The sequence below is a fragment of the Homo sapiens genome, chromosome 2, assembly GCF_000001405.40.
Source record: "Homo sapiens chromosome 2, GRCh38.p14 Primary Assembly".
In the NCBI taxonomy this organism is placed as follows: domain Eukaryota; kingdom Metazoa; phylum Chordata; class Mammalia; order Primates; family Hominidae; genus Homo; species Homo sapiens.
The window spans coordinates 233,400,960-233,425,771 of record NC_000002.12 but is presented as its reverse complement, the minus strand read 5'-3'; the positions used below and the strand labels follow the sequence as shown (position 1 = coordinate 233,425,771).

Below are 24,812 nucleotides of genomic sequence, written 5' to 3'. Positions count from 1 at the left end.
AGTAATGACAGTACATTCATATAACAGAAAACTATGCAGCCACTAAAACCCCTGAAGCTACTCTACATGTTCTTATATGGAACAACCTCTAAGACACACTGTTAATAGATAAAAGCCAATTGCAGGAAGAGTATGGGTACAGAGAAAACACTAATATTAGTCACCTCTAACTGAGAGGACCTCTGAGTGGCTGGGAAACACTTTATATCTTTTTAGCCTTAAGATTTCTGTACCACTTGCATGTGTTGCCAATCCAAAAATGAGCTATTAAAAAAGAATAAAGTCGGCCGGGCACAGTGGCTCACACCTGTAATCCCAGCACTTTGGGAGGCTGAGGCGGGCAAATCACGAGGTCAGGAGATCGAGACCATCCTGGCTAACACAGTGAAACCCTGTCTCTATTAAAAATACAAAAAAATTAGCCAGGCGTGGTGGCGGGCGCCTGTGGTCCCAGCTACTCAGGAGGCTGAGGCAGGAGAATGGCGTGAACCCGGCAGGTGGAATTTGCAGTGAGCCAAGATTACGCCACTGCACTCCAGCCTGGGCGACAGGGTGTGACTCCATCTTAAAAATAAATAAATAAATAAAAATAAAGTCTTACGTTTATATGTTAAGGATTAAAAAAAAAAGCTTTAAAATTCTATTTGAAAGAACAATTTTGGCTTCTATTCTTGATTCAAGTACATGATTTTCCAAGAGAAATGAGAAAATACCTTGCTACTCTAAATGAGTTGCCAAGCCAGACAAAATGTCCTCCCATGTCCTGGGAAGAATTAGCCCAGGGGGTTATTAAACCGCAGGGAGTGATCTCTGAGAAATCATGGTGAAAAAGGAGACATACTGGAGACATGCAGACGTGATTTCTCAAATGGAAAAGAGGGTGGACTCTGGCTTACACACACATGGCAGCTGATAGAACAAGGGACAGTTTGGCTAATATGGGCGAGGCACAAAGAAGGTCTCGGCAATCCACCGCGTGTTTTCCAGGTTATCTGCTCCATTCAGCTTCTCCACAACCTGACGAACCCGGCTGAGGGGCCTGCTCACAGTCCCACAGCAAATGAGCTGATGTGGCCAGGACACCAGGCAGGGGGGCTCCAGGCGGAGCCCTGGACCTCCATCCCGCAGCCTCTCCTCATCTGGGTGGTGCCTCACACCAGGGCCAGTGGGCCGGAGGCAGGGAAGCAACTGGCACTCACCACGAGCTCTCCCAAGCTCACTCAGTACAAGCGGTGTCTGGCACATTTCATTTCCGTTTTGGCAGGGTGACTGGCTTGGAGGATCAGCACAAGGACGATACCAACATCTCATTAAGTCATCTGACTAGTTGTCCCTCCCACTCTGACCAGGTTTCCCAAGAGTTCAAAATAGAAGGTGGAGAAATAAGATCTGGAGGATAATGACAAAGGCAGTTCACTGATTGACATCAGGCTGAATCACAGCACCCAAATGGCTATGTCCTGTCCAACCATTTCTAACCATGAATTTGGACATGCAGGGATCTGGACGTGGATCTCATTCATAAATGACACTTTAAATGACAAAAAAGATCAAAGTCCAGCAAACTGTGTCACGCTGAAACCACAGGCCAAACCAAAAGGGCCTAAGAGTAATTAATGTGAGGCCCGGGGACCACAACGGTCCAACGGTCATGACGAGCGAGCAGGGATGGGTAGAGGCACAACATTCTGAATGGACCCCCTCTTCACTTTTCACGGGTCCAAATTCAGATGACAGGGAGGTACTTTTCCCCACTCCTCTCACTGAGAACTGAAAACCATGGGCATCAGAAAATCAACACAAAAAGACCCTGAAAGGTAGAGAGAAGATGGCAGCCTGACAAGGGTCTTGTCCAAAGGGATGACACTGTGGTGGCCCTCTGGGTTTTCTTTTTACCTGGTATACCCTAGACTTGGAGCTAAAGAAGCAGCAGCCGAAAACAGTGATGGATACTGGGGGGGTGGGTGGAAAGCCCCAACAAAAGCCTGCTCTTCCAGGCCAAGGATCCAGGAAGGGGGCAGTCAGACAAGACAGAAACTGACAACGGCAGTAACACCCACCTTACTCCAGCCAGCGCCACAAGAAAAAACCATGCCCACCCCACTCCCAGGCCGCAGCTAGGCACTCCAGCACTCACCTAACAGAGTATCCAGAGGAGGCCAAGCTGAGAGCCGGGATGTCTCCTATACCACCTGGAAATGAGTCCTCACCCCCGACAGCACAAGAGGATATGCAAGCGGCAAATAAGCACACAGAAGATACTCAACATCCTTAGCCATCAGAGAAACACACTGAAACCACAACCAGAGAGCCCTACGCACCTATCACGATGGCTACAACAGAAACTAGTGCCAACACCACCTGCTGGAGAGAATATGGAGAAAGTGGATCTTACTGTTGGGTGGGATGTAAAACATTACGGCCACTCTGCAAAACGGTTTGGCAGTTTCTTAAAAAACCAAGCATGTGACTAGCATATGACCCAGCAATTACACTCTTCAGCATTTATCCCAGAGAAATGGAGATTCATGTTTGCACCGAAACCTACCCAGGAATGTTTACAGCAGCTTTATTCATGATCACCAAAAGCTGGAAACTATTCGGATGCCCTTCAGGGGGTAAATGATTAACAAACTGTGGTACACCCGTGGAATACTACTCAGTAATAAAAAGGAACAACCACTGATAAGACTCATCAACCTCAATGAGGCTCCAGGGAATTACGCTGAGTGAAAAATCCAACCCCAAAGGTTACATACTATAAGATTCCATTTATATCACATCTTGAAAAGACCAAATTATAGAAATGGAGACCAGATGAGTGTTTGCCAGGGGTTACAGAGGGACATGTGTGAGGCTGTAAAAGGGCACAAGGAAAATCTCTGCGGCTTGGAGGCTACCCATCTCCACTGTAACGAGGTTAGTATCCTGGGTGTGACATTGTACTGGAGTTGTGCAAGAGGTTACCACTGCATGCAACTGGGTAAAGGGTACAAAGAATCTCAAAATAAAAGCTTTAATTAAAAATAAGTAACCACCATCAACAATATTTAAGTTTAAACTGGGAAAACCAAGGAGTAACTCCAGAACAATGCTGTGTTTCTTAAGGACAAGGGCGTATGTGGGCAGCGCAAGTTAAAAGTGTAATCTTATCTAAAGTCCTGTATTTGTAGTTAGTGCAACCCATGAAACATCTGACGCCAAGAAAATATTATGTGGACACAGCCGACACACCTTTGGTACACATTCTCAAAGAAAAGGACCAGGTCCTCTATGTCAGGAGGGGTGGGTAGAAATGCCAGCTGCCCCGCCTGTCCCTGCGCCTGAGTCCAAGCACACGCAGGAGTGTCATGGACCACGCCCTCCGGTTGAGCTGCTCATTTTGCTATGGGCTCTGACACGTGGCCTGGGTACTTGAGCCTGCACAAGGCAGGGCCCTGGAAATGGAAGGTTTCATTTCTAAACACAACAGTGCTTGAGGAATCAGTGGAGCTATGTAACCTGAGGAGCTCAGCCATGAAGAGAGGATGTCAGAATCGCAGGCTCCTGCCCTCAAACAGTAGTGCACTTCCTGGGTGGGGCGGGCCAGCCCAGCACCCACTACGGCAATACCAATGTATGCTCTGGGAGTGGCCGAGATGGTGCCAAGACAAGGCCCCAAAAGAAGCTGCCTCTGCAGCCCCACAGCCCACTGGCCATGCCCCTCGGGGGTCCTACTACACACTTAGGGGGCCTCAAGGTCCTTCTGCCACTGCCTCCCAGAGACCAGTAATTGTCCCATCCCCCCAACCTCCCAAGTCAGAAACTGCTCCCTCAACTTCACCTCCTCTCTCCTGTGCTATCTTCATCATTGGGCTCCAAATTCTTTCTTTCTTCCTCAGAAATAAATTCAGGCAGTCTTTCACTTGAGCAAACAGAAAAGATTCCTGCTCCTGCGGAAGTTACATTTGAATGCAGGCAGTAAATTAAAGACTTATTAAAGAAGTGAATTACACAGCATGGAGAGTAGTAGCTGGTGACAAGCCCTATGGAAAAACGGGAGACCAGAAAAGAGAGGTCTGGGGGCCAGGGGACTCCACAGCAAAAACGGGGAGGAGGCGAGGAAGGAGCCAGAGACTGGAAGGAAGCAAGGAAGGAGGTGGGAAGGGCTGAGCAGAAGCAGGCGCGTGGTGCGTGGCTGGGGCTGGCATCAGGAAGGGGGCCAGGGGCCAACCTGCAAGCATCAGGACCACAGAGGGCCATGCAGGTGTAAGAACTTTGGCTTTTACTCCACGTAAAATAAGAAGCCATGCAAGCTCAAGTTTTGAAAGCATCATTCTGGTTGCTTTATTGAAAGCTGACAGTAAGATGCAGGAAAGAAGGCAGGAAACCTTTTGGGAGGCTCCTCAGTAACCCCATCACGAGATGATGGTGAGGAGAGTGGGCAGGCTCTGGATGTGCTCTGAGGACAGCAGACGGGACAGGGTGAGACAGAGAGGAGTCCACAGTGACCTCCGAGCAGCTGGCTGGGTGCTGCTCCCATCCCAGGAAGGGGACACTGTGGGTGGAAGCAAGCTTTACAGCTGGGGTGGCGGCAGGGCCAGCAGGTCCGTGTGGACATGCTGAGGGCACGGTGTCGATTAAAGTCTCAGCAATGTCCAATGTCTTATCTCACTCATGAGGTCTTCATCTTGCCCTCAGTTTGGTATGTTAAAAAAGAAAAACTTAAAGACACTATAGAAATGAGATCACTCATACGTGACCACTGCTGCTGATAGTTCTGGAGGTAATTTGACGATCACCAGTCAAGCTGAAGATGCACACACCTGGCAATTCTATCCTTAGAAACACATTCTAGAGAAACTCTTGCCCATGTGCCAAGAAGACGAAGATAAGCATATTCACAGCAGCACTACTGATCACAGGGAATCTGGGAAAGTGTACGTCCACAACAGGACGTCTTAGGTACTGGAACACTACAGAGGCCACGAAAACCAGCATCGTGGGCCTCAACTCAGGCCGCGCCTGTCAGGAGCTCTGCGGTTCATGCCTCGTTCCCCAGAAATTCTGATTTAACTCCAGGAATCAGGAATCAGTTGTATTAAACCTTGAACCATTTAACTAAAGCTAGATGTAGCCACAGGGATAAATCCAGGAAGCGTAATGCTGTGGCTGTCCAGTCTGATAACATTTATTCGACATTTCAGAACCAGTTCAACAATGCTATATACTGTTTATGCCTACACACACTTATCAAAAAAGTATATAAACATGAAAACAAATGACAAACACCAAAGTTAGGATGCCCCCAGGGAAGGGGGAGCAGGAAGAAACGAGGATAGGAAAGAGAATTCCAAGTGCCTCTGTTATATCTATTATGTTTATTTCTCAGGCTGGAAGCAGTCATAGCTGGGTTCATGTGTTACTTTTTGAATGTTTTAAATGTTTTGGCACAAAAATATGCTAACATGCCCAAGCCAGAACTAGAGACACACACAATATAGCCATGCCCTATATTTGTAGTTTAGCCATACGGAAGGTTAACAGGTCAGCCTGAAACCATGCCAGTAGCCAGACTCTGCTGAGGGAACTGGGGGAGGGGAATCTCCTGAGCGCCTGAGCCTGGAATTCACTCCTTTACCATCCCAACCCCTTTATGCAGGGTTCCCAGGGCTTTTATACACCCCACCAGGCCCCTGCCGACTGCCACGCGTCTCATGGCAGACACAACTGTTCCTAATTTGTCTCTCAAATTTCTCATCCCAGAGTCAATTCCTGAATCCCAAATAGCTCGAGTGTCTGAAAACAAGGTGGATGCTTCATGAAGGGAGGAAAGGGAGGTCCTGGCGGGACCACTCAGAAGGGAGCTTTTAGAGGAGAACAGCAAAAACACCTTCCCTCCCAACACACACCCCTCCACAAACCACAAACCAACATCACACCCTAGAAACCTCAAAGCACACAGGGACAGGTCCTGCACCGTCGACAGACAAGGTGAAAATCCACCCACACCCAAAGCAGAACAAATCTGGGCTCTGTAGTGCTTGCTTTGGGGGACTGGAGGGAAATTTTCCCGTGACAAAGCTCAGACTGTAGGAATTCACCACACACAAGCCTCTTCCACCTGCAGCTTTCTGTCTGGCCAGGTGAGAACCACAGAATGTTTCTAGCACATGAGTAAAGTCACACCACAAAGCCTATACCTTAAAAATTCCAGCCTTCCATTTCTAAGACATACAAGCCAAGAAGCAACCCTCTGGAGCATCTTACAAGGAAGCTCAATTCCTTCCGCTTAATTCCAAACCCTGACCTTGAACTCACCACCCAACAGCCTCCCAGTATGATGGCACACTGTCCCCTGGGGCTCTTACCTGCTGCCCTTCCTGCTCAGAACAGTTTCCAGCTGCTCCACGTGTATCAAAATTGAAGTGACCCAGCACAAACAAAAACTGGGTGTTAAAGTCAATGGGCAAGAGCCTACAGATTACGAAGTAGAGCAGGAACGCTGGAGCAGCAAATCAGTACCGTGCAATCAGCCACCAACCAAAAGAGGGGCAAAGGGACGGTGCTGGGGGCAGGATGAGGCACTCGGAAACACTCTGCTAAATATAGCTCCTGGGCTGCAGCGCTTGGAAAGGTGGCCGAGAATAAGCATCTGGCGCCCTGGGTCATTTCTGTCACTTCCTGTTACTCACATCCTGCTGTTCCGATGCTGCCCGAATCCTGGATTCCCCGTACACAATTCCCTACCTGGAAGCCCCCAGAGACAGACCATTCAAAGCAGCTGGGATGTGCGTAGACAACAGACTTCCTCACAGAGCACCACACAAAACACAAAAATAGACACCACCACACAAACAAGCTCTTGGAGTTCCCCATATAGAAAGAGCCTGAGTGCCCAGGTCCGGGTGAGCTCCGCACAGCACTGTGTCAGACCCCGCCCAGCCCACCAGCTCTGCACGCTGCCCTGTCTGCAACCTAAAAGGGAACGTGGGCCCAAACAGCTGTCATGCACTTCCTCTCCTGGGCTGCATCTCACCTGCAGCCTCAGAGCAGCTTTGGGGGGAAGGAGGGGGTCCCCAGCATGACAACTGACAGGTGCCACCCACAGCACAGTCAGAGCAAGGCATCCTCCATCTGACCCACTCCTGCCTCCCCAGGAACTCAGGAAGCCCAGGTATGGAGCAAAGCCAACTTGGCAAGAAGTTAAAGTCACATGTAACCTACCAGAAGATAGGTTGTTTTAATTTATTTATTTTTTTAGAAACCCATAAAGTAAAATGAAGCAAAAAGTGAAAGTTCTACTTAAAAATGAAACGTGACAGAAATATTGTGTTACTTACCTATTCACTATTTCAACAGTACTTCATTAAGCTTGAGTTATGTTCAACTGTGAGAAAACTAGAGATTGGGGACTGCCATGGTTGGCGGGGGGGCCTCTGGCAGGAAGGGAATATTATTACCCATGAAAGGCACCCCAGATGTAGAGCTGGTGCCCCAACATGGGCTGGCCATAGTCAACCAGCATGCAGAAGGCAAAATACAAACAAATGTGGTTTCAATAGCAAAACGCTGGCAGCACCTCAGTCTCCAGACAGGGGGCTGGTGAAGTAAGCTCCAACATGCTCACACAATGGTATGTCACAGGCCCATAGTCATGGACACAGAAAGATGTTCATGAAGTAATAAGTTTTAAAAGCAGGTCATAAACTAGTCTGTATAAATAATCCAAATTTTTGTAAAACTAAAGTGTATTTAATAATATTCACAGAAAAAGGCCCCATAACTATCTGTCCATATCAGGGTTTCTCAACCTCAGCACTATTGACATTTTGAGCCAAATAATTCTTTGTTGTGAGGCTGTCGCACAACACTGTTGTGCCTCTGGGGACACTGAGCAGCTTCCCTGGACTTTACCAACTAGGTGTCAGCAGCACGTACCCCTGCTCTCCATACCCACAACTGTGACAAACCAGTGTGGAGTCCCCAAATGTCCTCTTCAGGCCAATCTCACCTCCCCCACTGCCTTATCCCTACCCATGTTTGAGAATCGCAGGTCTATATAATAGTGTTTAATCTAGAATCTCAGTGATAAGACTTTTGAGTGGTTTTTGTTTGTTTGGGTTATCTGCACTTAATTATCTATAATGATACATGTTATTTGTATTAAAAGGGGAATTAAAAAGAATCTTAGCATCAGGAAAACCTTCCAGGTATTTTTGCCATAATGCAATTTTTGAGTTCCTAAAAACCCTCATACTCTACAAAAGGGCACAATAAAAGTAAAAAGAAGTCCCATGGGAATAGGTAAGCTGGGGCAGGCCACTGAGAACTTATGCAAATTTGTAACCAAGCATCAAGGGAACAACAGCAATATTAAATGTTTTTAAATGAACAAATTTTACCACATAAACACTACAGTAAATACAGAACTGCACCTTTTAAAAAATGCACAAGGGGGGCTAGGCGCAGGGGCTCATGACTGTAATCCCAGCCCTCTGGGAGGCTGAGGTGGGCAAATCACCTGAGATCAGGAGTTCAAGACCAGTCTGGCCAACATGGTGAAATCCCATCTCTACTAAAAATACAAAAATTAGCCAGGCGTGGTGGCGGGTGCCTCTAGTCCCAGCTACTCAGGAGGCTGAGGAGGGAGAATCAGTTGAACCCAGGAGGCAGAGGTTGCAATGAGCTGTGATCGCACAACTGCACTCCAGCCTGGATGACAGAGCAAGACTGTCTCAAAAAAATAAAAAATAAAAAAATGCACACAGGAACTAAGACACAGTAAGCAATTCCAAGGCAGAGCTTGCGGCTGCAATGCACACCGTAGCAGGAAGGTGGGAGAAGTAAGACCAGAAGCTTCATGTCCAGGGCTGTGCTCCTCCTGGGCTGACTGCATCCTGCGTTAGTGACCTTGGCTTTCAGTAGCTGGGCTGCTGGACTTCTCGCTAGAGAAACAAACCACAGCAGGAGGGCAGAGTACCTGCATCCTTCAGCTACTGAACAGAAGAAACAAGGAGCTGAAAGACCTCGGAGTCCTGGTGACAAGGAAAGGCAAACCAAAGGTCCCTGGTAGTAAGTCTGGAAGGGATGGGGTGGAGGGAGAGAAACGGGAATGCTTTGGCATTCTTAAGTCTGACAGCCACCACGCTGTCATAATTTATCCATTTTTCTCTGGGATTAACTAATGGTAAATCTGCATATACCCAAAGGCGTCTATAGTAACACTGTAGTTAACAAGTAAGTATCAAGAGGAAAGTAACAAGATGAGAAGGAAAAAGAGTTTCATAAGCTACCCGAAGCCCTTGACACTACCATCCACTTTTTTGGTCACTGAAGGTCAACCTGACTAAGCAATACAATTTCCCAGAGCAAGGTGGCCAAGGCAGAACAATCACATCTGCTGGCTGGGCCAGGTGTCACCCTTAGGACAAAGTCTTGTCCACACCTTTTCAAATGAATTGATTCAAGCCTGTTTGTGTGTTCAATACTTAGAGTGGTTAAGTAAACCACAGAATGGCTACCACACAGAAAACAAAGCCACACGAGGAGGGAAAAACAAGTAATTTATAAAAGGGCATATTTATACTGTACTCTTAAAAATGGTTAAGATGCTAAATTTTATGTTATGTGTATTCTACCACAATAAAACAGTATTCTACCACAATAAAACATAAATGAGGGAAAGGGGGACATACTGATGTCATCGTATTGTGTTTAAAAAAGGCAGGACACAAGCAGCCGGGAAAACTGGAGGTTCACACATCAAGTGGTAGGACTGAGAGATTCTTTTTTTTCTTTTCCCTCTGGTTTTCTCTATTTTCCAAATTGTCTACAGTAAAAGGTGTCTTTAAATTTATCTATGCCTGGTTGGGCGCAGCAGCTCATGCCTGCCAATCAGTGCTTTGGGAGGCCAAAGCAGGAGGATCCCTTGAGCCCAGGTGTTCAAGACCAGCCTGGGCAACACAGTGAGACCCTGTTTCTACAAAAAAAATTTATAAATTAGCTGGGAATGGTGGTGCCTGCCTGTGGTCCCAGCTACTCAGTAGGCTAAGGTGCGGGAATCACTTGAGCCCAGGAGGTCAAAGCTGCAATGAACCTTGATCACGCCATTGCACTTCAGACAGGGCGACAGAGTGAAACCTCATCTCTAATTAATTAATTAATGTATCTATGCCTTTTCAAATTTATCTATGCCTTAATCTACGCCTATTTCCTACAAAAATCAAGATCAGAGATAATTACTCCCATTTGCCTATACAACCTCCTTCATCCATTGACCTGCTATCCCAATGGCCTCTGGCAGGGCCTAGCTAAAATACTGGGTCTCCAACCACCCCTGCAGCTAGAGACAGCAATGGAGGTGAAGGAGCTGACATCACCGGGGAGAGTGGTTCCAGGAAAGCTCTTTGAGGGAGATGACTCAGCTGGCAGCCACCCTGATGGCACTTGCTGCAGGCATCTCATAACCAAGATGCCCTACCCTAACGTACCCTACTCCTATTTCACATGGAAAATTAAAATAGAGTTTCTTTTGTGGGCTAAGGAGTCCCATGTCCTCCAACTTTTCTGTGCTTTAGTCTGAAAGCTCAGCTGTCTGGGAAAACAGCCATGTCTCCTGACAAGGTCTAACTGTTACCTGTGTGAGGGTGCTCTCAAGTTTTGCTCTTGGCAAAGAACTAGGCCAGCAGGGACAGAGTCCAAAGTGTGGGTCCAGCATGTACCTGTAGTCTCAGCTACTCGGAAGGCCAAGGCAAGAGGATTGCTTGAACTCAGGATCTCCAGACCGGCCCAGGCAACACAGCAAGACCCCGTCTCTAAAAAATACCCACACACACAAAGAATGGGCCCTTCCAGCCCCTTACCAACTCCCTCAGACTGGAAGGTCAGGATGCCAAATCAGCCCCAGGTCAGTGTACAGACAAAAATGGTTCACTGCTCACTCTGAAAAGAGATGGCCTCATTCCCCAGCCAATCCACCTGCAGGATGGAAGGGCAGTCATCTTCTCTCCCCCAAAACTAACTCTAAGGAAAACATCTATAAACACACTACTATTGCACTTCTTGAAAAAACATACCTGAAACAACCTGAAGCTTTCAATTCTTCTAATTGTGAAGCAAAAGTACAGGACCGCAGAGACAAGGTCCTGTACCACAGGACCCAGGACCACGATACCTGAGACATTTCTCTTCCAAGTGTCACAGTCATCACATTGTAATGTCAGGAGCTGGGGCCACAAGACAGTTGGCCAAGTCACCTCATCCAAGGCATGCCGTGGTCTCCCCCTGGAGGGAGGGATGGAGTGCCTGCCTGGTGACCCTGTGGTCTGGCAGAGCTGTGTTTGCTATCACATGAACTCAGCACTCTGCTTAACAGGAGAGACTACAGGTCCATGAGCGGCACAGCTGTTGTTCTAAGTTTCCCAGCTTTGATAAGGGAGCCCCTGATTCCCAAGCCCAACCTCTACGGCTGCTGCTGGTGCACAAAGACCCAGTCCCCTTAGGATGCAAAGGATAAGTGGGCACAGACTCCTTCCAGATGCTGGGGACCTGAATGCAGTCTGTAGCCACAGCAGTCATGTCCTGAAAGAGAGAGGCCCAGTCCAAACTACCCTGTTCTTTTTTAACTCCCTGGCTGATTCATGTGTTTGCTCCAGGGGCTGTCATTTGTAATCTGTCCAGGAAAGGGCATCTCAGACCACATTCCCAGTCAGGGAATCATATACAAGGTCAAGAGCCTCCTGGAATTGTCCTCCCTCATCTAGAACCCCCGCTTCCTAATTTTATTTGGATGCTCAGAGGTGGTTTATCCCTTTCCACTAACCAAGCTTACAATGGCTTTCCTTATTCCTCTGATACTTCAAGTACATTGTAAAAATGAAAAGAAGTAATTCCAACTATAGGTTTTAATATTTTAAAAGACCAAAAAAGGTTGAAAATATTTTTTCCATTGGCAAGCCCTGACTCAGAGGGTCTGTGTACCAGTGCTGGGCACATAGCCAAGAATTTGAAGAGCCACCGTGGGAGGGCACGGCATGCAGGGCAGCCACAGCCTGCCAGCCTGACTCAGCCAGCTCCCGTCACAGCACAGTGACGACACGGTCCCATGTGGACGGGGGGAGACAAAAATGCTTCCCAGAGGTGCCAAGGAATAGAGATACAGCAACAACAAATCAATTAACCCCACAGGCATTTACAGTGTGGCTATTTGGTGCCAGGCATGGTTCGGGGGCGCTGGGATGAAAACAGATCAACAAGCCCCATGATATCCCTTCTCTCATAAAGTTTCTACTTCTCCATCCAACAGACATAAATCAGAGGGAAAAGGAAGAGAATGCAGAAAATGTCACTGCAGACACAAGAAACAAAAAATCTGAACATTAAAAAAAAAAAATCACAGGGTATTATCAAAAACTTTACCCCAAAAAAACTGCATACCTACATCATTTCACTGGTAAACTCTAGCAAATATTTCAGAAAGAACACCAAGCTTACACAAACTTTATCAGAAAACAGAGGCGGGGTAACACTGACTCACTACATATATATGTATTTTTAGTAGGGATGAGGTTTCACCATGTTGGCCAGGCCAGTCTTGAACTCCTAGCCTCAAGTGATCCACCTGCTTCGGCCTCCCAAAATGCAGGGATTACGGACGTGAGCCACCACATCTGGCCTGACTCTCTATTTTTTAAAGTACCAAAACCTGACAAAGGCAGAAAGGAAGAAATGAGGGAAGAAAGGGAGAGAAATAAATTACAGATCAATACCTTCATGAATATTGGTGCAACAATCCTTAACAAAATAATGGCAAATTGAATCCAACAATAAATAAAAAACATATTATGAGCAAATAGGGTTTAACCCAAGAATGAAAAGTTGTCTTAAATTTGAAAATCAACCAATTTAATTTGCCCTTTTAATAATATAAAGGAGAAAAAAACCATGTGTTCACTTCAATAAATGCAGAAAAGCATTTGACAAAATTCAACACCCATTAATAATTAAAACTGTCAGCGATCAAGTAAAGAACATCCTCAAACTGATAAAGGATACCTACAAAAAGCCTACAGCTAACATCACATTTAATGATGAAAACCGAACTGTTTCATGTTAAGACTGGAAAAGGTGGAAGGATTCCTGCCTTCGCTACTCCTATTCAACACTGTACTGGAATCTTAGCCTTTGCAATGAAGCAAGAAAAATAAATAAAAGGCATGTGAGTCAGAAAGGAAGAAGTAAAGCTGTCCCTATTTGCAAATGATACAACTTTATATAGAACTTTCTAGGGAATCTACACAATGACTACTAGAATTAAACAAGCAGTATTTTGCAAGGTCACAAAATCCACTGTATTCTTATATATTAGCAGCAAACAGATATAAAATGTTTATAAATTCCATTTAGTTAATAAAAATAAAAACATAAATTACATTGAAATGAATCTAACAAAAGACGTTAAAGACATCTACACTGAAAACTACAAAGCACTGCTGAGATAAATTTAAAGCACCTAAATAAAGAGAGAGAGATCGTGTTAATGTACTGGAAAACTCAACATCATTAAAGATTCAATGTTATTAAGATAGCAATTCTCCCCAAATTGATCTACAGATTTAACACAATCTCAAACAAAATTCTAGCAGGCCTCACTTATAGAAATTGACAAACTAATATTAAAATTTATATGAAAATGCTAAGTACTTAGAATAAAGCTATGTTAGAAAAGAACAAAGATGACTCTAATTTCAACACTTCCTATAAAACTACAGTAATCAACAAAGTGTAGAATTATTTCAGTAAAGGCAGACATAATATAGTTCAATAAAACAAAATAGAAAATCTGGAAAGAGACTCAAAAATAAAAGGTTAATTGACTTTTGAAAAAAGGCAGCAAAGGTAATTAAATGAGGAATGGAATGTATCTTCAATAAACGCTGCCTCAAAAACTGAATATCCATATGGGGGTCGGGGGAAGAACATCAATAATAATCCCAACTGTAAAACCTAAAACTACAAAACTTATAGAAGAAAATCTTTGCAAGCCGAGGTAGACAAGGGTTTTCTGGATAGAATACTAGAAGAATGAGCCATTTAAAAAACTGATAAGTTGAATTTCACCAAAAAGAAAGACTTCTGTTCTAAAAGTGTCATTAAAGAAAACACAAGCCACAGACTGAGAAAAACATTCACAACACATGTATCAGACAAAGGACTTACATCCAAAATACATAAAGAAGTCTTACAACTCAATAAGAACCCAATTAAAAAAATGGATAAATGTCCTAGCACACATTTCACAAAAGACATACAAATGACCAACAAACACATGAAAAGATGTTGACATCATTAGTCATCAGGGAAATGGAAATTAAAGCCACAATGGGGTAACACTACATAACTATTAGGACACATAAAATTAAAAAGACTGATCACACCAAGTGTTGGTGAGGATGTGGAGCAACTGGAACTCTCTATACACTGCTGGTGGGAATATAAAATTGGATCACCACTTCAGAAAACAGTTTAGCAGCCTCTTAAGAAGTTAAACATATACCTACTATATGATCCAGCGATTCCACTTCAAGGTGTTTACCCAAGAGAAATGAAAATATGTCCACACAAAAGACTTGTATACAAATGTTCATAGTTTTATTAGTAATAACCCAAAACTAGAAACTACCTAAATGCCCACCAATAGAATAGACAAATGCTGGAATATGCATACAATGGACTACTGATATTCGTAACATGAAAAATCTCAAAACCATTATGCTGAGTGAAAGAAGCCAGACATTAAAAAAAAAAGTAGTACATGCTGCATTACTCAATTTATATAGCATTCTTTTTAAAATGCAGAGTAATCTACAATGACAGAAAACAAATCCATCCATGTTTGCCTGTGAAGAGGCAGAGAAGGAAGGATTACAAGGAAATTCTCAGGGTGATGGAAATGTTATCCTGACTATGGTGACAGCTTCAGTGTAATTATGAGAGAGAGAGAGAGAAAGTGTGTGTGTATAAAAACTATCAAACTGTACACCTTAAATACTGCAGTTTATTGTACATCAATTATGTCTCAAGTCACAAAAAATGGTTTTCATGTATTAGAATAGTCATTAAAGAACACTATGAACCTTTCTCTGAATAAGCAGGGTGACCATATAGCTTATCATCCAAGCCAGGAAACTTATGCAAGTCAAAGTGAGTGCTAAAGATAAGAGGTTGTGTACTGCCCTGGAGAAATCAGCACTTAGGGATTTGGGAAAAACAAATACCCAATCTCTTCATTGGTGTGATTAGATATCACCCCAAGGTATCTAGTGATACCTTAAAGCAAACCATCAAGTTTTCACAGGAAGCAAACCATCAAGTTCCTCAGAAGGCAGCGCAGAGCTGGCAACAGCCTTGGCAAGTCAGCTGCGCCCATGACCTTGATTTACAGAAAAGGAAGCGATCCCGGTCAATGACGGGCACAGGACAAACCCCAAGGCTCCTGCCTCCAAGGTCAGTGTCCCTTGAGCCCCCCCTCTTTCTTCAAAGAGAAAAAAAATCAAAGAATGGGGTGGAAGCCAATCCCCCTCTTAACTATTTTCCAAACATCTAATTATCTTGACCCACCCTCTATAGCTTTGCAGCCAATGAACAATTCAGCTACAAAGAAAACAGCATTGGCCAGGCACAGTGGCTCACACCTGTAATCCCAGCACTTTGGGAGGCCAAGGCAGGAGGATTGGATCATGTTGACCAGCCTGGACAACATGGTGAGATCATATCTCTACCAAATTTAAAAAAAAGAAAAAGAAAAGAAAACAGCATCGACTTTTCTGTATGAAGTCCAGCACTGATTAACACACCCAGCCACAGGCCTGGAGGCAGCTCCCACAGGGCACATTCTACACCAGACCCAGTCTGCAGGGCCAACCCTTCTGCACAGATCTACTGATAACCACTCCCACAGTCCTCCTCCTGTCTTAAAAAAAAAAAAAAAAAAAAAAAAAAAAACGGTATGGGGGGATCACATGTTTTTTAGGTTTACACTTCAAACCAGGTTCTTCAATTGTGTGGTGAGGAGGAAGGACTGGGTCAATAAACAGCAGTCTCCCTACCACAGAGCAGGAAATTATCTTAATTTGATAACAAGTTGTTTCAAGGAAATAAAAAGATCCTACCACTATGTACTGTGAAACACCAGGTTATTCTGGGACGGGAACGTGGGATTTTTTTTTAACATGATTTCCTAGAGAATGATACCATTTTTGTAACTTTCAAGGAAAAAAAAAAACCAGACAGACGGAACTTGGCTCAATCACACCGTGACACATTTAAAAGCATACTGAGTAAAGATGGCTAAAAAGTATTCACTGCCTAGGCACCCTAGGAAAAAATTCAATCAAATCCATGTATCTTCCCCCCAGGTCTTTTCTCAAAGAACTCTTTCCCTTACTAAATTACTATAATCCAATGACAGTCTCTCAACTATCCACTTTGTTTTCTCTGCCATTTGTAAATAAAGACAATTAACAAGTACGCTACACTTGTTCATAAAAATTAACAAGTATAACAAGTGTTAACAACACAAATACTTTTTCAAACACATACAATCATAAGGTGAAAATGGCTTAGATTTCACAAATGCAAACCCCACTGATAATCTAAACAAACAGCCCAGACGAGTAACTGCGTCTTCTCCCACCCCAAACTCTAAAGAAGAGACACCACAATTGGTTCCACTGCTCACCAGCCAGGCTGCCAGAAGAGGACAGCATCTTCTCCCTGTGCCTGCTTGGAGTGACTGTTAAAACCGACCCCTAAGCCCTCACAAGGAGCAACCTGGCTTTTCAGACCAGCTGTGCTGCAGAAGCAGGTGCTGCCTTCAGTAAAACCCCACACTTAGCAAACAGCCACCAATTTGACTCAATGCCTGCTTCCTCCTGCTTCTTTAACCTGAGAACACAGTGTGGATTACCAGGTGTGGAATTCACTGGGTTAACTTCCTTCTGCACCTGATCCCGCAGGCCTGCACTGCTGTCCATGGCATGTGTTAATAATTACAGTATTTCATTCACTGAGCACCTACTCTGCCCGGTGCTCGACTGCCCCACCATTGCTGTGCTAGGTAGGACCACCCTCATTGGCAGATGGGAGAATGAAGCTACAGGTGGCCAAGAACCCACCACTGAGAGCTGGCAGAGCTGGGACATGCAGTCAGGTTCTCCTGGAACACTGCACTTGAGCAGAAATAGAGGCAGGCTTGCTTTGCAGAAGTGAGCCCAGGGGGCAGGAGCTGCTAACGAACGTGGGGCTTCCCAACAGGAAGAGCAAAGACACTTCACACTCAAGAGGACTTTTGGGACCCACAAATACAATTCTCCCTGTCCCAGACCTGGGCCAGCAGTTGCAGCAATTAGGAAGAGTCTTTTATGCAGAGACATTTGCCAATTATATACAGTTTCTCTGGATGGGCGCAGTGGCTCACGCCTGTAATCCCATGAGGCCGAGATGGGTGGATCACCTGAGGTCAGGAGTTCGAGACCAGCCTGGCCAACATGGTGAAACCCTGTCTCTACTAAAAATACAAAGTTTGCCAGGTGTAGTGGTACATGCCTGTAGTCCCAGCTACTTGGGAGGCTGAGGCAGGAGAACTGCGTGAACCCGGGAGGCGGAGGTTGCAGTGAGCTGAGAGCGCAGCACGGCACTCCAGCCTGGGCAACAGAGTGAGACTCATCTGAAAAAAAAAAAAAAAAACAGTTTTTCCTCTCTCCGAGCCAAAGTTAACTGGCTTAGGAATTTTGCCCAGAAAATATCTGAAATCCAAACATGCTAAAAAGGAAAACTGATGATGAAATCTGGATAAAGATCACGGTTCCTCACCCAAGAAGCAGTCCTAACCATCCTCTGGGCTGATGTCTGTTAGAAACAGCTGAGAAACTCAGCCACAGTTTCACGCTAGGTAGGCCTACTAGGGAACTTTCATTCACCCAACAAATATGAATGCCACATGGACAAGATTTATTTTATGTTTTGAGACACGATCTCTCTCTGTTGCCCAGGCTGGAGTGCAGTGGTGCAATCACAGCTCACTGCAACCTAGAACTCCTGGGCTCAAGTGATCCTCCCGCCTCAGCCTCCCAAGTAGCTGGGACTACAGGTGCATGCCTCCGTACCTGGATAATTTTTTTTATTTTTTGTAGAGACAGGATCTTGTTATGCTGCCCAGGCTGGTCTTAAACTCCTAGCCTCAAGTGATTCTCCTGCCTTGGTCTCCCAAAATGCTGGGATTACAGGCATGAGCCACCGTGCTCTGCCATGACAAGATTTAAACGCAATACTCTGATCCATTACATAGCTTCCTTTTTATTTAGCTACCAATTAAAGGCATCTTATATGTTAAATTATACTTGGTTTTCCCTTAACTTTTATTTTTCCTGTTTGTATTGATTATACCTTGAAAACTTTTAAGGATAACTTTTTCCGGATATCTACTCTTCTGCTACAAAAGCTATTTTTAATATATCTGTAAAGTTGGCCTCGTTTGAAATCCTTTGAAACTCCTATAAATCAGAATAACTGTTACATGTTAGCAAGTTAAACCCTATTACTTTCCTACTAGTAGAGATGACTGGTGGTGGAGATTAGAAACTAGGAAACATTCAGAACGCACTTCTGTGCCAATCCAATGACCTTTGAGATACAGTCCAGTATTATCCCATTTCACAGATGAGAAAATTGAGTCTCAGAAAGATGAAGTATCTGCCCTAGGTCACACAGCTAACAAGGAAGACCTTCTTTATGATATACTTCATCAAACTTCTTGATACCATAAACTATTCAAAAATATTACTTGGGGAAAAGGAAGTCATAAATACAGACATGAAAAATCACCCTTCTCTCTGCATAACATGGTTATTCTGATATGATTATTTCAGGGCAAGCATCCTGAGAGCTATACGGTATGAGCACATAACTAAAGATCAACCGGGAGGATGTCCGCAGAAGTGCCATGTCACACTTTGGAGAAGTCATACAAGAGCTCCTCGTCTGTTCTGTGCCATGGACCCCTTCTGGCAGTCTGGTGAGGCCTATGAACTCCTTCTCAGAATTTCTCTAAGTGCCAAAAATAAAATACTTATGATTACAGTGGAAACCAATTTTAATACAATATAGTCATATCCACAGACCGCTTTGAGGGGGCCATGAATCCTGGTTATGAACTCCTACCAGGCAACACACTTTCTCCTCTCCTCGTCTCCCCGTCCAACAACAGGAGACACAGTGGTGACTAGCACCTCATAGCCTCTTAGACTAGAAGACTCACATTCTGGAAGGGCTCGGTCGACCTTGCAGAATGACCATACTCACCAAGGACTACTTTCTTTGGTGTGAAAGAATAAAACCTTGCCTGTTCACACCATTCTTATTTGTAGCTATAGGGCATCGAATGATGGCCTCCAAAAGGTATGTCCATGTTCTAATCTCTGGAACCTGTGAATGTGACCTTATTTAGAAAAACAGTCTTTGCAGATGTAATCAAGTTAAGGATCTTGAGATGAGATCATCCTGGATTATCTGAGTGGGCCCTAAATCCAAGGACAGGTGTCTGTTTAAGAAAACAGAGGAGAAGACACAGAAGAAGGAAGAAAAGGCCATGTGGAGACAGAGGCAGATCTTGAAGCGATGCAGCCACAAGCCAGGGAATGCCTGGAATTACCAGGAGCTGGGAAAAGCAAGTCACAGAGTCTCTCCTAGGACCCCAGCCCTGCCAACACCATGATTTCAGATGTCTGGCCTCCAGGAATGTGATAGAATTACATTTCTTCTGTTTCATGTTATCTGATAATTTGCTATGGAAGCCATGAGAAACTAATACAGTAGCTAAACCTAACTCTAACATACACTACCTTCATGATATTCTACCAGCATTAAATATAAACTGCCCTTTATATATGCAGTATTATATAGCTATTACACATAAGCAGCCCTCTAGACATGTGTCTTAGTCTGTTTTGCGCTGCTGTAACAGAATACCACAGACTAGATAATTTTAAATGAACAGAAGTTTATTTGCCTCATAGTTCGAAAGTCTAAGAGCATGGTGCGGCATCTGGTGAGGGGCTTCATGCTGCGTCAAAGGTGACAGTGAGAACAAGGGGGAGGAGATGAACTCATCCCTTTATTAGGAACTGACCCCTACAATAACAGCATTAATCCATCCCCAGAGCAGAGCCCTCCTGGCCTGATCACCTCTTTTTTTTTCTTTCTTTTTTTTTTTTTTAGACAGAGTTTCACTCTTGTTGCCCAGGCTGGAGTGCAATGGCACAATCTCGGCTCACTGCAACCTCCGCCTCCTGGGTTCAAGTGATTCTCCTGCCTCAGCCTCCTGAGTAGCTGGGATTACAGGCATGTGCCAACACACCCAGCTAATTTTGTATTTTTAGTAGAGACAGGGTTTCTCCATGTTGATCAGGCTGATCTCAAACTCCCGACCTCAGGTGATCTGCCCGCCTTGGCCTCCCAAAGTGCTGGGATTACAGGCGTGAGCCACTGCACCCAGCACTGATCACCTCTTAAAGTTTCTACCTCTCAATACTGTTGCACTGGCGCTTCAGTTTCCAACACATGAACTTTGGAGGACACAATCAAACCATAACAACATACATATCTTAAATTTAATTTTCACTTGGCTCATAATAAAAACACCCTTTATTTTTGATCCCCATTATTTGGCCAATCCATTTTCCTGAAATTTAAAAATAAACCAAGGGCCGGCCTGTCCTTTTTCTTCACTCTGTTCTTACATGATACCAACAAGTATTCACTTCTCACCTTCTGTCTTCTTTCCAAGCTGGTTCCATTCCTGTAAACCAGCCCCATCCCTCATGCAAGTGTGTACTCAACTCTTCTTCTACCACCTTCCATACCTGGGGCAGCTCTCTACCTACCCTCCACCCAACCTCATTCCAGGATGTGCCACTGGAACAGCAGACGTTCACCCAATGTCTGCTCACATGTCTTCCTCCACCAGCTTAGCCATATAAGCCAGAGTCCCCTGATCTGTCCACTTCCCTTCAACAAACCCAACTTCTTCTTGATATTGCTTTTTTAAAGTTATGTGACATGCCAATCCTCTAGAGATTCTGGAGGCTTAGGATATCTGAAAGTTCAAATGATGATCTATCTAAAATGGTGTAAAGTAAATAGAAGCTGAAATACAGAAATACTCAAAAATAAAGCTGTAAACCAGAACCAAACTAGAATCACCCAAAGCAGGAGGAAGTTTTGTCTTCTCAACTCTCAGGGCAGGTAACAAAAAGGAACCCAAGACCAAACCAAAGCAGCTCCTGAAGGGCAAACTGCACCCTCTCCTGGGCAAACAGGGCTCAGCATGGAAGCTGCTCTGCAGGGGAGAACAAACTCACCTCCCTAAATGTCCCTCCTGTGATCTGAAATGCACATTCTAGCATTATCTCCAACAGGAAAAACTGAAACATTCTCAGTTCCTAATGCTGCAAGAGTGAGCAAATAAAGTTTAACTGATCAGTGATGACACATCTACACAATGAAATATCTGCCACCATAAAAAACGATCATTACAGAGACTCATGATATGGGGAATCTTATGATAAAACAGCAAATAAAGCCAAAATACAAAATTATACATGTATATAACACATGTAAATTATACATGTATATAACACATGTAAACACAAAATTATACATGTATATAACACATGTAAAATGTAATTTTGTAACACAAAACACAAAATTTAACTTTGTAACACAAAACACAAAATTATACATGTATATAACACATGTAAAATTTAATGTGTGCCTATTAAAAAGTCTGAAGGGAGGAAGGGCGCAGTGGCTCACGCCTGTAATCCCAGCACTTTGGGAATCCAAGGTGGGCGGATCACGAGGTCAGGAGTTCGAGACCGGCCTGGCCAGCATGGTGAAACCCCGTCTCTACTAAAAATACAAAAAAATTAGCTGGGTGTGGTGGCACACGCCTATAATCCCAGCTACTCAGGAGGCTGAGGCAGGAGAATTGCTTGAACCCGGGAGGCAGAGGTTGCAATGAGCCTAAATCGCGCCACTACACTCCGGCCTGGGCAACAGAGCGAGACTCCATCTAAAAAAAAAAAAGTCTGAAGAGAAACATGAAAAAAGAAAACAACTGCAGAGCTACTGTGGGAACATTTTCTCCCTATTTTACTTTTATTTTTATTTTTGAGATGGAGTCTTGTTCTGTCGCCCAGGCTGGAGTGCAACGGTGCGATCTTGGCTCACTGCAACCTCCACCTCCTGGGTTGAAGCAATTCTCCCTGCCTCAGCCTCCTGAGTAGCTGGGATTACAGGCGCCCACCACCACATCCAGCTAATTTTTGTATTTTTAGTAGAGACAGGGTTTCACCATGTTGGCTAGGCTGGTCTTGAACTCCTGACCTCAGGTGATCCGCCTGCCTCGGCCTCCCAAAGTGCTGGGATTACGGGTGTGAGCCATCACACCCAGCCCATTTTCTCCCTATTTTAAATTTCCTTTAAAATCATTACTAAGATTCAAACACTTTAAGAACTAAGTTAACAAATGAATCCATACAGGAGGACTTGTACCTGGAAAGCAGGCACTGCTAGTGTGTCACATGAACAGACACTCCTACCACCTATTTCCTGGATGTCCCCGACTCCCTGACTCTTCCCCAGTCCTCTCTGCAAAAGGGACCCGTCCCCACATCCAGCTCTCATGCCGCTCCTCAGAGAAGCTTACCTCCCCTCCCAAGGCTAACCACCACCACTCTAACTGTACTTTGTACCTTCTTCCACTCTACTTATGACAGGGCACTAGAACTACTTCTTTATATACTGTTAGAAGTCTCCCAGAGTAGGGAACACACTTACCTACCCCGTACACCCTCAGGCACTCAGTAGACAGTTTGCCGTGATACAGGATAGTTCAAATAAGGAATAACAAGTTCTAAAACTTGCATCTTTTCCAACTGATTTGAAATTAGGTGGCCAGGGTAATGCCTTACTTGTCAAATGACTCCTCCATTCTCTGGGATAAACAAGTTTTCCAGCTGGCAAACTCGCTAAAAGCGCACACACAGAGCACAGGGGCTAACCTTGTCCCCAAGCTGCCGGCCGGACATGAGCTGGGAAATTGTAAAAGGGGGAGCCTGGCCCACAGAGGGGTCCACAATAGTGAGCACCTCTTCAGCGGGGCTTGCCAAGGAAGGGGTGAGTCAACATTCTCTCTGTTGTGCTAACAAAAAGAAGCAACAGAACCTGCTTCTTCCAGCTCATATTCATACACATAGTCACCCCAAAGGGCAGAGCACTGGGGACCCTAAGCTGCCAAGACACTCCATGGCCTTGAGCTCAAGGTGTGGCCAAGTACACATTACTAGGGAGCTTGTGCTAATGTAGCATCACATGAGTGACACAAAGTACCCTCAAGAAGGGGGTCCCAAAGTGGTTGTACCCTAAGATTTTGGAAAGCTTTGAAAAAGCACCCACTTGCAAACTTCTGGGGAAAGTTCCAAAAGGTGCTCGGGCATGGCCAAGTTTGAGAACCACAGTCCCACAGAAGCATATGGCAGTTTCCTGAGCACCATGTAAACAGGAAGGCTTCCCTGAGGAGGAAACGGACAGGGTCGGTGGGGAGAATTTGGGGAAACAGACCCCCAGAGACCAGGGCCAGCAGGTGACCCGTACACACAGGGAGCTCCCTAAGAAGCACTGGGCTTGGCTGGGGAGAGGCCAGGCTGGGAGGGCACATGAGGACCAGACCCTGAACTTCATTAGGTAAGAAACGAGGGGCCCCTCGATGGTTTATAGTGCTTGCTTTTTTTTTTTTTTTTTTTTTTTTTTTTGAGACAGAGTCTCACTCTGTCGCCCAGGCTGGAATGAAATGATGCGATCTCAGCTCACTGCAACCTCTGCCTCCCGGGTTCAAGTGATTCTTGTGCCTCAGCCTCCTGAGTAGCTGGGATTACAGGCGCCCGCCACCATGTCTGTCTAATTTTTATATTTTTAGTAGAGACGGGGTTTCATCATGTTGGTCAGGCTGGTCTTGAATTCCTGTCCTCAGTTGAACCACCGCCTCAGCTTCCCAAAGCACTGGGATTACAGGTGTTAGCCACCATGCCCAGCCTTAGTTCACAGCGCTTTTAACAATGGGCAGAATATGACCCTTCTAAATGGCTCTGTATTTCAGGCATATTCCAGTAAAACTTGTCTTTCCTCTCTAAGGTTCACCTCAGCTACAGTTGCCATGACCCAGGGAGTAGTAATAATACAGCCAGACTAACTGAAGCCCAGTGAAATCTGGACTAATTAGTAGTGATTTTGTTCAATTAAAGTTATTATTCAGTAAACAGAGAAAGTATGAAACGTTAAGTACACCAAACTAGAAGAAAATTTTCCACATACCAAATGATATAATAAATGAATTTGGTTTATTGCTTTCAGTTCATTCACTGAATAATCAGTAAGTGCCTATAATCACAGTGTTAATAGGCACAAACACATATATCATGCCTACATTCATTAACTCATTTAGTCCTTACAACCAAACCACCCCACAAGGCAGGTTACTAGCCCCATTTCTCAGATGAGAAAATGGAGGCTTCGAGCTGTCCTGTGACTCGCCCCCAGTCATCTGCTTGGAAGAAGCTGAGCTAGGATTCACACTCTGGCTTGCCTTAAAGAATGAAGTTACCTTGCAGAGTCCCGTACTTTCAGAGATCAAAAGAAGAGAAGGAGCCCAGTCCTGCTGCCTTGGGTCTTCTATCTGGTAGAGGATACACAGACCCTGGACATTCAAAGACAGA

At 44.8% G+C, this 24,812-nt stretch overlaps 1 protein-coding gene across 16 annotated transcripts in view, besides 3 other annotated features; it reads right to left on the bottom strand.

Annotated features, from left to right (window-relative positions):
• DGKD (diacylglycerol kinase delta) overlaps nucleotides 1-24,812 on the bottom strand; it is a 117,605-nt gene that overhangs the window by 46,327 nt on the left and 46,466 nt on the right. Inside the window, exon 1 of one of the 16 annotated variants that reach the window (XM_011512035.2) lies at nucleotides 16,721-17,722. The exons of 13 other annotated variants lie outside the window; for them this stretch is intronic. The gene's annotated coding sequence lies outside the window, so the exon portion shown is untranslated. Of the gene's footprint in view, nucleotides 1-6,350; nucleotides 6,561-11,057; nucleotides 11,578-16,720; nucleotides 17,723-24,812 lie in introns of those variants that run through there. 2 more of the 16 variants (XM_047446099.1, NM_001377259.1) reach the window with 2 other exon arrangements.
• Nucleotides 3,435-3,584: an enhancer, noted in NCBI's record as "active region_17347". NCBI's record gives its function as "activates an Ori minimal core promoter by ATAC-STARR-seq in GM12878 lymphoblastoid cells {active_cell/tissue: GM12878}" and the evidence as "EXISTENCE:reporter gene assay evidence [ECO:0000049][PMID:35858748]".
• Nucleotides 6,375-6,484: a silencer, noted in NCBI's record as "silent region_12471". NCBI's record gives its function as "represses an Ori minimal core promoter by ATAC-STARR-seq in GM12878 lymphoblastoid cells {active_cell/tissue: GM12878}" and the evidence as "EXISTENCE:reporter gene assay evidence [ECO:0000049][PMID:35858748]".
• Nucleotides 6,675-6,874: an enhancer, noted in NCBI's record as "active region_17346". NCBI's record gives its function as "activates an Ori minimal core promoter by ATAC-STARR-seq in GM12878 lymphoblastoid cells {active_cell/tissue: GM12878}" and the evidence as "EXISTENCE:reporter gene assay evidence [ECO:0000049][PMID:35858748]".